A 12,601-nucleotide genomic window follows, 5' to 3' on the forward strand; every position below is an offset into this window, starting at 1 on the left:
CTGAAGAGTGTTATTGAATATGATTCTAGTATAATTAAAAACTTATTTCTCCAAAGGAATCATAGAAGGAAATGTCTGCTTTGTGAAAATTGCAGATTAATGAAAGCAAATGGTATCAATAAGAACTCTGCCATCCTCAGTATTATAGCTCAGGCGTGTTGTTGCTCAGTCCTCAGACAGCTGCAGTTGCTCTGTGTATCACCTTATATAACCCACTTCCGTTTCCCATTGAAGAGAAAATGAGGCATAGGATGTACAATGATCTAATGTTAGGCACTTCCTTGACTTCATCAATCTTGGTGGATGAATAAGAAAAATACGTTTTAAGCTTTGGAGCATGATTTCAAGCACTCAGTAGTGTTTCGGCAGTAGTCTTGGTAAACTGGAAAAGTCAGGGATTTTTTTTTTTTTTTTTGAGATGGAGTCTTGCTCTGTTGCCCAGGCTGGAGTGAAGTGGCGTGATCTCAGTTTCTGGGTTCAAGCGATTCTCATGTCAGCCTCCTGAGTAGCTGGGATTACAGGGGTGCACCACCACACCCTGCTAAATTTTTTTGTATTTTTAGTAGAGATAGGGTTTCGCCATGTTGGCCAGGCTGATCTGAAACTCCTGACCTCAAGTAATCCACCCTCAAGTGATCAGCCTGCCTTGGCCTCCCAAAGTGCTGGGGTTCCAGGCGTGAGCCACCACACCCTGCCCAAGTCTGTGATTTGACCTGCCTTGTATGGATAAATAAAATTGCAGGTTGCGACGAAGACCCACCTCTCTCAGCAGGGCAGGAGATAGGCATGAATCCTTGCCTTGGTAATCTTCCTGAGGTAAATATTAGTACAGATTTTAAAATAACCTTCCCTTTTAAAACCTGAGATTTGATGACACTGTTGGTATAGAAACATATAACATATAAAAATCTTGTGCTCACTTCGGCAGCACAAATACTAAAATTGGAACAATACAGAGATTAGCATGGCCCCTGCGCAAGGATGACATGCAAATTTGTGAAGTGTTCCATATTTAAAAAAAAAAATCTTGTTCCATAAAAAAAAAAAATCTTGTCACATGTTGGTTACAGTTCCCAAAAACACTTCATCAGAAAGCACATAGCAGTCGTCACCTGTCAGTGCTTGAATTTTGATGTGAAGCCAATCGAGAGTACAGTACCTGTCAAAGTCTCTTGGTTCTCGATACCCAAACAGTCATAGCAGCAAGGAGATGAATGAAAGCTAACTTCAAGAAAGCCTTCATGATACCACATCCAAAGTAACCACCTCAGGATGCAGAAAATAACAAAAGTCTCTGACGGGTTTTAATGCCAAAGAACTTATTTTTCATAGTAAGGGCGGTAGAAAATTGAGTACTCACAGATTATTTTCAGTTTGAAGGTAACAGGATAGGCCGGGTGTGGTGGCTCATGCCTGGAATCCCAGCACTTCAGGATGCTGAGGCAGGTGGATCACTTGAGCTCAGAAGTTCAAGACCAGTCTGGCAACATGGTGAGACCCCGTCTCTACCAAAACTACAAAAAATTATCTGGGTGTGGTGGGACCCACCTGTAATCCCAGCTACTCAAGAGGCTGAGGTGGGAGGATGGCTGGTGGGAGGATCACCTGAGCCTGCGAGGTGGGGGTTGCAGTGAGCTGAGATTGCATCACAGCACTCCAGCCTGGGAGGTGGAGTGCGACCCTGTCTCAAAAAAAAAAAAAAAAGAAAGAAAGAAAGAAAGTGAAAGTAACAGGATAGAAGGTATTTCTGTACTGCCTGAAGTATCATTTCTGAGAAAGACGTGCATAAACATGTACAATAAGTGTAATCTGAAAGAATAGTCTTCCAATAGTTGATAGAGAGGTGCCCAGGTGGGACTTTAAAAACCTGAAGCGAGGGTGTGGCCATGAGGGACACCCTGAGGCAAGGAGCATTCGAGTCACTGGGAATGCATCTCAGACCTGGTATAGGACAGGGTTTTTACGAACGTAAATGAAAATGTGATCGTATGTTTGTTCTTTTATTTTCAAAAAGAAAAAACTTATTTTTTACATTTTATTTTCTCAGGTCTGCCCAGAACAATCTGACAAAGGCAGTAGATGCTTTTAGTAAGTATTTTCTGTATCTGAAATGCAAGAACTGTTCAGGAACAACTCGGCATTTGCCTTTCCCCTATTCCCTGGTAACTTTGGATTGATGACACCCCAGGGTTTGCATTTTTCCAGGTATGCTGCTCTGAAATATATTGATCTTCCTTATCAACATCTCTCTAACATGGGGGTTGTGAGGGATGGATGATGGTATGACTGCCCACCTGCCCAGGTGTGTGAGGGAAGTGGAAAGAGGCTGCATAGCACTCAGGTTCTCCCTGAAGTTGAGAGTCTTCCTGGGATTTTTGCAGGGTAATTAAGAGCAGATTGTGGCTGCGCGCAGTGACTCGCGCCTGTAATCTCAGCACTTTGGGAGTCCAAGGCAGGCGGATCACCTGAGGTCGGGAGTTCAAGACCAGCCTGGCCAACATGGCGAAACCTCTTCTCTACTAAAAATATAAAAAATTTGCCGGGCGTGGTGGCATGCACCTGTAGTCCCAGCTACTCAGGAGGCTGAGGCAGGAGAATTGCTTGAACCTGGGAGGTGGAGGTTGTAGTGAGCCGAGATTGCCCCACTGCACTTCAGCCTGGGTGGCAGAGGGAGACTCCATCTCAAAAAAAAAAAAAAAAGAGCAGATTGCTTGCTACTTCTTGGAGCAAAGCAGTAGCTCCAGTGACCCAGAAGGTAGTAAGAATAATCATGTTCATGCATTGAGAAGTCTTCCTGGCCAAAGACTCTGCTGAATTCTTTGTTTTTTACTCTATGTAATTCTCACAATTCTACGAGTATTATATAATACACACCTATCATTGTCTCAGTTTAACAGAACAGAAAACTGAGGCTTAGAGAAATTAAATAATTTAAGGGCCAGGCATGGTGGCTCACACCTGTAATGCCAGCACTTTGGGAGGTCATGGTGAGTGGATCACTTGAGGTCAGGAGTTTGAGACCAGCCAGGCCAACATGGCGAAACCCCATCTCTACTAAAAATACAAAATTAGTCGGGTGTGGTGGCGGGCGCCTGTGGTCCCAGCTATTTGGGAGACTGAGGCAAGAGAATTGCTTGAACCCAGGAGGTGGAGGTTGCACTGAGCTGATATCACGCCACTGCACTCCAGCCTGGGCAGCTGTGAGACTGTCTCAAAAAAAAAAAAAAATTAAATAATTTACCCAAGATCAACCAGTTAGTAGGTGGCTGAATTGGGATTTGAGCCAGATTCTCTTAATTTCCTTCAGAAACTTCCAGTGAGTCCCTTTTGCTTCTGCCTATGGCTCTCTCAGCTTCTTTGTCTTCTCAGGAGAGGGAATCTGACTGGGGCAGTTATTCTCAAGAAGAGAGCAGCCTTTTGAGACCATGTATATTCATTAAGCCTATTGTAGGCCACAGGGCGTTAATGACATGTGGCCCTTATGGCCCTTGAGTACTTATGATTAGTTTCTAGGTTGCCTTGGGCTGGAGTGCAGATTCTTGATCTAATCAGCCATGGCCTGGCTCAGATGACACAAAGCTTGTTAACTCTTGGCCAGAAATGCCTGTAGCTTGTTTTTTTAGAAAAGGTCTATGAGCATGGGAGTCTGAGCCTTCTATACGTAGTATATTGTTTCAGGAATATATTCATAGTTTTTTACATATATATATGTGTATATATATGTGTATATGTATATATATGTATATATATGTGTATATGTATATATGTACGTGTGTGTGTGTGTGTGTATACATATATATATATATATATATATTTTTTTTTTTTTTTTTTTTTTTTTTTTGAGATGGAGTTTTGCTCTTGTGGCCCAGGCTGGAATGCAATGGTGCGATCTCAGCTCACCACAACCTCCACCTCCTGGGTTCAAGCGATTCTCCTGCCTCAGCCTCCCAAGTAGCTGGGATTACTGGCATGTGCCACCACACCTGGCTAATTTTTGTATTTTTAGTAGAGATGGGATTTCTCCACGTTGGTTAGGCTGGTCTCAAACTCCCGACCTCAGGTGATCCACCCGCCTTGGCCTCCCAAACTGCTGGGATTACAGGCATGAGCCACTGCACCCAGATTTTTTTTTTTTTTTTTTGAAACAGAGTCATGCTCTGTTGCCCAGGCTGGAGTGCACTGGCACCATCTTGGCTCACTGCAACCTCTGCCTCCCGGATTCAAGTGATTCTCCTGCCTCAGCCTACTGAGTAACTGGGACTACAGGCACGTGCCACCACGCCCAGCTAATTTTTGCATTTTTTAGTAGAGACAGGGTTTCTCCATTTTGGCCAGGCTGTTCTCAAACTCCTGACCTCAAGTGATCCACCCGCCTCGGCCTCCCAGAGTGCTGGGATTATAGGCGTGAGCCACCACACCTGGCTCGGGAATGCATTTATAATTATAAATTGAGCCACACGTGATAATTAAAAGGATTATACTCTGACTCCCTTAGCAAGGTAGGAGGTCAATCACTGTCAAAAGTTTGGCTTTCATCTTTGCAGGCCTAGAAACTTGTCTGTCAGAATACCCATTATTAGGCCGGGTGCAGTGGCTCATGCCTATAATGCCATCACTTTGGGAGGCTGAGGTGGGAGGATCACTTGAGGTCCGGCATTCAAGACCAGCCTGGCCAACATGGTGAAACCCATCTCTACTGAAAATACAAAAATTAGCCAGGCATGGTGGCGGATGCCTGTAATCCCAGCTACTCAGGAGGCTGAGGCTGGAGAATTGCTTGAGCCTAGGAGGCGGAGGTTGCAGTGAGCCGAGATTGCGCCACTGCACTCCAGCCTGGGCGACAGAGTGAGACTCCATCTCAGAAAAAAAAAAAAAAAAGAATACCCATTATTGATCACAGAGGCCAGAGGGGAAAAGGACTCAAGCTAAACTCATAGAAATGGCAATTTAACCATTTTTGATGGCACTTGACATTTCTTAGTGAGCCCTTTCATGGATATTTCCTTCTTGTTGTCAGCAGGCTAGAAAGCCACATTGGCTTACTTGGTGAGATCGGAGTCGTTAAAGGGAGGTAGATGACCTGGCTTATGGGATGGTGTCCCCAGCCATGGTGAAGCTGCTCCATCATAGATCCCCCTCTGGCTGTCTGTTAATGTTAACCAGATTCAGGACATCTCACCTAGACAGTTGGACAGACTTTGCCTCAACTCTGTCTGTAAAAGGAGGCACTGACACATTTTGGGCCACATGCTTTGCATTACGGAGCTTGTCAGTTACTTGATAGGATTGATTTATCATAGGATATTGGGCTGTCAGGTTTGAAGAGGGAGAAGGTATGGCACGTAGGGTGCTGCAGGGAAAGTAGACTCAGGGGCCAGTTCCTGGGCAATTGGGGCACAACAGGAAGTCGTGAGGTGGCAAGGGAGCCAGAGGCATAGGGAGAGAGGGAGAATGAATGGCAAGGCTTCATGTGGCCTGTGTGTGGCCAGTGCTTCATTTATTAATTAATCATGACATTCCTGTGGTTGGGGCTGTGATGAATGTTGTACAGAGAAGGTTCCTACATACTATCTAAAATCACTTACTTCCCAGACTGAATTTATACGTTTAGTGTGCTTCTAAAATATGTTCGTAAAGTTTTTAAACATTGATTTTTTGATCTTGAGGAAACAATGCTAAAGTTCTTCTACTAGGATGAATGTCTGAAAACAGCCAAGAAAATGTTCTCAGGCCGGGCACGGTGGCTCATGCCTGTAATCCCAGTACTTTGGGAGGTCAAGGCAGGTGGATCACGAGGTCAGGAGTTCAAGACCAACCTGGCCAGGATGGTGAAACCCTGTCTCTACTAAAAATACAAAAAAATTAGCCAGGCATGGTGGTGGGTGCCTGTAATCTCAGCTATTTGGGAGGCTGAGGCAGAGAATTGCTTGAACCCAAGAGGCGGAGGTTGCAGTGAGCCAAGATTGCACCACTGTACTCCAGCCTGGGTGACAGAGCGAGACTGTGTCTCAAAAAAAAAACAAAAAATGTTCTCAAAGAAGGCAAGAGACTTATCCTAGTAAACACTAAAACCTATTGCAGATTCATTTGCAAACATCAGAATAGCAAGACCAATAAAACAAAGTCTAGAATCAAGCCCATGCTCATAGAGGAATATAGGATACAATAAAAGTGGGTCTTAAGCAAGGTTAGATAGCTGACTGCATAGAAAAATAATATAGATCCATACTTCACTTTATATTAAAACTTTTAGTAGATTAAAGGTTAAATATAAAAATGAAACTATAAAAGTAATTGAGGCTGGGCACAGTGGTTCATGCCTGTAATACCAGCACTTTGGGAAGCCAAGGTGATGGGGGGATTGCTTGAGCCCAGGAGTTTGAGAGTAGTCTGGGCAACATGATGCACCTCTCTCTCTACAAAAGGTACAAAAATTAGCTGGGTTTTGGGGCATGCACTTGCAGCCCCAGCTACTTGGGAGGCTGAGGTGGAAGGATTGCTTGGGCCCTGGAGGTCAAGGCTGCAGTAAACAGTGATGGCGCCACTGCACTCCAGCATGGGCACAGAGCGAGACCAGGTCTCAAAAAAAAAAAAAAAAAAAAAGTGATTGAAGAAAATAAATGTAAAACTTCAGTCAACACAACCTAACAAACTTGAAACGGCAAGGAAAATCTGGGGAAAATATTTGCAATATGTGATAAAGAGCTGTTATGAACCAATAAGAAAAGTATAAACACTCCAGTAGAAAAGAGGCATTTTACAAATATGGAAAAAATTGTTACAACTTAAGTATAATTGACCCTTGAACAGCGTGGGGCATGGACACTCCATTCCACACACCCCTACCCCCCACACACAGTTGAAAATACACATATAACTTTTGACTCCCTCAATACTTAACTAAGGTCACTGTTCACCGGAAGCCTTACTGATAACATAAACAGTTGATTAACACAAATTTTGAGTCAGGCACAGTGGCTCACACCTGTAATACCAGCACTTTGGGAGGCCAAAGTTGGGAGGATAACTTGAGCTCAGGAGTTCGAGACCAGCCTAAGCAACATAGTGAGACCTTATCTCTACTAAAAATAAAAAAATAAAATAAAAATTAGCTGGGAATGGTGGCACGTCCCAGCTATTAATACTTGGAGGGCTGAGGCAGGAGCATCAGTTGAGCCTGGGAGATTGAGGCTGCAGAGAATTATGATCACACCACTGCATTCCAGCCTGGGTGACAGAGCAAGAACTTGTCCCAAAAAAATAAAATACAATAAAATATATTTCTTTTTCTTTTTTTTTTTGAGATGGACTGGCACTCTGTCACCCAGGCTGGAGTGCAGTGGTTCTATCTCAGCTCACTACAATCTCCGCCTCCTGGGTTCAAGTGATTCTCCTGCCTCAATCCCCTGAGTAGCTGGGATTACAGGTGCCTGACACCACACCTAGCTAAATTTTTTGTATTTTTCTTTTTTTGAGATGGAGTCTGGCTCTGTCACCCAGGCTGGAGTGCAGTGGCGCGATCTCAGCTCACTGCAACCTCCGCCCCGCAGGTTTAAGCGATTCTCCTGCCTCAGCCTCCTGAGTAGCAGGGACTGCAGGTATGTAACACCATGCCTGGCTAATGTTTTTTTGTATTTTTGCTAGAGATGGGGTTTCACTGTGTTAACCAGGATGGTCTCGATCTCCTGATCTCGTGATCTGCCTACCTTGGCCTCCCAAAGTGCTGGGATTACAGGTGTGAGCCACCGTGACCGGCCTTTTTTTTTTTTTTTTTTTTTTTTTTTTTTGTATTTTTAGTAGAGATGGAGTTTCACCATGTTGGCCAGACTGGTTTTGAACTCCTGACCTCAAGTGATCCACCCACCCGGCCTCCCAAAGTGCTGGGATTACAGGCATAAGCCACACATATTTTCTATACGTATTATATACTGTAGACTTATAATAAAGTCAGCTAGAGAAAAGAAAATATTAAGAAAATCGTAAGGAGACTGGGCCTGGTGGCTCATTCCTGTAATTTCAGCACTTTGGGAGGCTGAGGCTGGCAGATCACCTAAGGTCAGGAGTTCGAGACCAGCCTGGCCAGCATGGCGAAACTCCGTCTCTACTAAAAATACAAAAATTAGCCAGGCGTGGTGGCTGGCGCCTATAATCCCAGCTCCTCGGGAGGCTGAGGCAGGAGAATTGCTTGAACCCTGGGGTGGGGGTGGTGGCGGGGCAGAGGTTGCAGTGAGCCATGCCACTTCACTCCAGCCTGGGCAAAAGAGCTAAACTCTGTCTCAAAAAAAAAAAAAAAGAAAATTGTAAGGAAGAGAAACTATATTTACTGTTTGTTGAGTGGAAGTGGATCATCTGGATCTTCATCCTCATCATCACATTGAGAAGGAGGAGGAGGGAGGGGGTTGGTCTTGCTGTCTTGGTTGGCAGAGGCAGAAGAAAGTCCGCACAGAAGTGGACCCCTGAAGTTCAAACCCATGTTGTTCAAGGGTCAACTGTGTAAGTAAAGTGCAAATTAGAAGCAGTTTTCTTTCTTTTTTTTTTTTAAACGGAGTGTCGGGAGTTTCGCTCTTGTCACCCAGGCTGGAGTGCAGTGGCGCGATCTCGGCTCACTGCAACCTCCACCTCTTGGGTTCAAGGGATTCTCCTGCCTCAGGCTCCTGAGTAGCTGGGATTACAGGTGAATGCCACCACACCTGGCTAATTTTTGTATTTTTAGTAGAAGTGGGGTTTTGTTATGTTGGCCAGGCTAGTCTTGAACTCCTGACCTCAGGTGATCTGTTCACCTTCGCCTCCCAAAGTTCTGGGTTATAGGCGTGAGCCACTGTGCCTGGCCAGGAGCAGTTTCTATCGGATTTCAAAAGATAAAACATAATTCTCAATATTATGGGCGGGGGGACAGGTAATTATATGCATAAGACTACATTGCTGGCCGGGCGCAGTGGCTCATGCCTGTAATCCCAGCACTTTGAGAGGCCGAGGTGGGCGGATCATGAGGTCAGGAGTTCGAGACCAGCCTAGCCAACATGGCAAAACCCCATCTCTACTAAAAATAACAAAAATTAGCCGCACACGGTGGTGAGTGCCTGTAATCCCAACTACTCAGGAGGCTGAGGCGGGAGAATTGCTTGAACCTGGGAGACAGAGATTGCAGTGAGCCGAGATCGTGCTGTTGTGCTGCAGCCTGGGTGACAAGAGCAAGACTCCATCTTGGGGAAGACTACATTGCTGATATATACTTGTAGTACTTTATAAAAAGTGATTTGTCATTAGGTATCAAAAGGGATAAAAATGTTTATAACCTTTGCCCCAGTGGAATAACCAATTTCACTAGTAAGATTATCCTCAGGAAATAATTAAATATTGTGGCAAGATCTAGCTACTAAGATGTTTATAGTAGTGAGATACTGGAAATAAGTATTCAACTGTTAGACATTAGTACATCTATATAATAGATTACCCTAGCCATAAAAATTATCTCTGTGAATGTTCAAAAAATTCTCCTGTATATTACGTGAAAACAAATGATAAAATGGAGAATATATAGTAGAATTTGTTTTTGTAAAAAATACATAGAAAAAGACTGGAAGAAGATTCATTAAGGTGTTAGATTCTGCCTTTTTAAATTGAGATATAATTCATATACTGGCCGGGCGCAGTGGCTCACGCCTGTAATCCCAGCACTTTGGGAGGCCGAGGCGGGCGGATCATGAGGTCAGGAGATCAACACCATCCTGGCTTACATGGTGAAACCCCATCTCTACTAAAAATACAAAAATTAGCCAGGCGTGGTGGCGGGTGCCTGTAATCCCAGCTACTTGGGAGGCTGAGGCAGGAGAATGGCGTGAACCCAGGAGGCGGAGCTTGCAGTGAGCCGAGATCACGCCACTGCACTCCAGCCTGGGCGACAGAGCTAGACTCCGTCTCAAAAAAAAAAAAAAAATTCATATACCATATGATTCACCCATTTAATCAATCTAAAGAATCCATTGCAAAGTCAGTACAATTTATTATATTCAGAGTCGTGTAACCATCACTTTACTCAATTTTAGAGCATTTTCCCTGTGCACATTAGAGTCACTTCTCATTCCAGCCTCCTAATGCAACCTCCCTAAGGCACTCCCAACTTTCTCCCCTTTCACTACTATTGCACCCATTCCTCTACTTTGTCTATAGATATGCTTATTCTGGACATTTTATGTAAATAGAATCATACAACATGTGGTCTTTAGTGCCTGGTTTCTTTTAACATAATGGTTTCAAGGCTCATTCATGTCACAATATATTATAAAATTTGAGTCATTCCTATATTTTATGTATTATGAGTTTCAGGGGTCTGTCCTGCAGACCCTGACCCAACAATGGATGAATAAAGTACACTGACACACAGATATTCTGCTTTGCCAGTTTGGCTGAGCATCCGGGCAGCTTATAGACTCCACGCAGAGTGCTGTAAACAGTTGGAGATGGAGACCATCCTGGCTAACACGGTGAAACCCCGTCTCTACTAAAAATACAAAAAAATTAGCCAGGCGTAGTGGCGGGCACCTGTAGTCCCAGGCTGAGGCAGGAGAATGGTGTGAACCGAGGAGGTGGAGCTTGCAGTGAGCCGAGATCGCGCCACTGCACTCCAGCCTGGGCGACTGAGCGAGACTCCGTCTCCAAAAAAAAAAAAAAAAAAAAGCGGCCTTGACCAGCTAGTGAGACTCACATTTATTCAGTAAATATTAATTGACAAAGGCTTGAGTCAACACCACTAGAGGGTAATTGACATCGTGGACTTCCCGAGTAGAAAGCAATTAAGCACCGGCGGGAAATCAAAGGTTAGCCTTAGGACCACAAGAGTAAACAAGCTATTTAGATAAACTCCCCACATTCCTTTTTTTTTTTTTTAAACTCCCCACATTCCTTTGTTTCTACTGTAATTTATTTAACTAAGGGGACAAGGCTGCCTTCAGCTAAGTTTATCACTGGAGCTTATGCAAACGCCCCAGGCCTTCCAAGAAGGTTTGCGTCTTATAATTTTCCCCACCATCCTGACTGAACTCCCCCAATGGTAATACATAAAGTTCGTGTACAAGTTTTTGTGTGGATGTGTTTTCAGATCTCTTTGATGCACACCTAGGAATGGTGGAATTGCTGGGTCATGTGGTATCTGACTGCTTAGCCTGTGGGGGAACTGCCAGATTGTTATACCACTTTACATTTCTACTAGCAGAGGATGAGTTTGTCAGTGTTTCCACGTGCTTGCAGTTATTTTCTGTTTTTTTGTTTTTTGTTTTTTTTTTTGAGGTGGAGTATTGCTCTGCCACCCAGGCTGGAGTGCAGTAGCACAATCTCGACTCACTGCAACCTCCACCTCCCAGGTTCAAGTGATTCTCCTGTCTCAGCCTCCCTAGTAGCGGGATTACAGGTGCATGCTACCCCTCCCGGCTAACTGTTATATTTTTTGTAGAGATGGGATTTCACCATGTTGGCCTGGCTGATCTTGAATTCCTGATCTCAAGTGATCCACCCGCCTCAGCCTCCCAAAGTGCTGGGATTACAGGCGTGAGCCACCGTGCCCGGCCCTAGTTAGATCCTTTGCCCATTTTTAAATTGGATTCTGTTTTTATTAATGAGTTGTAAGAGTTCTTTATATATTCTAGATAAAAGTTCTATATATATGATTTACAAATATTTTCTCCCATTTTGTTTCAGCAAACGCTCTAGGAAAACAAACAAATGTTTTCTCCCGTTCTATAGATTGACTTTTCATTTTCTTGATAGTATCTTTTGAAGCACAAAACTTAAAAAAAAAAAATTCCCCCAACTTTATCGAGGTATAACTTACAAAAATTGTATATATTTATGAGGTACAACATGTTTTTGTTTTTGTTTTTTTTTTGAGGCAGAATCTTGCTCTGTCACCCAGGCTGGAGTACAGTGGCATGATCTCAGCTCACTGCAGCCTCCTCCTCCTGGGTTCAGGCAATTCTGGTGCCTCAGCCTCCCGAGTAGCTGGGATTACAGGGGTATACCACCATGCCCAGCTAATTTTTTTGTATTTTTAATAGAGATGGGGTTTTACCATGTTGGCCCAGCTAATCTTGAACTCTGGGCCTCAAGCAATTCGCCTGCCTCCCGAAGTGCTGGGATTACAGGCGTGGGCCCTAGCACTCGGCCACGTGTTTTGATATATGTATACATTGTGAAATGATGGTCACACTCAAGCTAGTTAACATATCCATCACCTCACATAGTTATCTTTTTTTTGCATGTGTAATGAGAACATTTAAGATCTACTTTCCAACCAAATTTCAAGTATACAATAGAGTGTTATTAACTGTCAACACCAAGTTGTACATTAGATCCTCAGCACTCACTCATCCTGCCTAACGAAAACTTTGTACTCTTTAACCAACGTCTCCCTATTTCCCCCACCCTCCAGCCCCGGCAACCACTATGCTACTCTCTGCTTCTATGAGTTTGACTTTTTAATATTCCCCATATAAGTAAGATCATGCAGTATTTGTCTTTCTGTGTCTGGCTTATTTCACTTAGCGTAATGCTCTTCAGGTTCATCCACGTTGCCCTAAATGGCAGGATTTCCTTTTGTAAGGCTGAA

The 12,601-nt window shown here is 43.9% G+C and overlaps 1 protein-coding gene and 1 pseudogene across 35 annotated transcripts in view, besides 2 other annotated features; both read left to right on the top strand.

Annotated features, from left to right (window-relative positions):
- The window catches only part of MFSD11 (major facilitator superfamily domain containing 11), a 67,172-nt gene that overhangs the window by 15,366 nt on the left and 39,205 nt on the right, over positions 1 to 12,601 (top strand). For 26 of the 35 annotated variants that reach the window (NR_148235.2, NR_148238.2, NR_148233.2 and 23 more), the window contains one exon: positions 2,048 to 2,088. Coding sequence is in view for 21 of the 35 variants with exons in the window: in XM_047436733.1 (XP_047292689.1) it covers positions 2,048 to 2,088 (41 nt within the window). In the remaining 14 variants the exon portion in view is untranslated. Of the gene's footprint in view, positions 1 to 2,047; positions 2,206 to 12,601 lie in introns of all 35 variants that reach the window. The other 9 variants (NR_148231.2, NR_148229.2, NR_148230.2 and 6 more) reach the window with 1 other exon arrangement.
- Positions 913 to 1,014, top strand: RNU6-97P (RNA, U6 small nuclear 97, pseudogene; annotated as a pseudogene).
- Positions 3,598 to 4,099: an enhancer, noted in NCBI's record as "H3K4me1 hESC enhancer chr17:74751679-74752180 (GRCh37/hg19 assembly coordinates)". NCBI's record gives its function as "activates a minimal SCP1, AML or CMV promoter by ChIP-STARR-seq in primed H9 embryonic stem cells {active_cell/tissue: H9 hESC(primed)}" and the evidence as "EXISTENCE:reporter gene assay evidence [ECO:0000049][PMID:30033119]".
- Positions 4,100 to 4,599: an enhancer, noted in NCBI's record as "H3K4me1 hESC enhancer chr17:74752181-74752680 (GRCh37/hg19 assembly coordinates)". NCBI's record gives its function as "activates a minimal SCP1, AML or CMV promoter by ChIP-STARR-seq in primed H9 embryonic stem cells {active_cell/tissue: H9 hESC(primed)}" and the evidence as "EXISTENCE:reporter gene assay evidence [ECO:0000049][PMID:30033119]".

Source organism: Homo sapiens, chromosome 17 (assembly GCF_000001405.40).
Source record: "Homo sapiens chromosome 17, GRCh38.p14 Primary Assembly".
Lineage (NCBI taxonomy): Eukaryota > Metazoa > Chordata > Mammalia > Primates > Hominidae > Homo > Homo sapiens.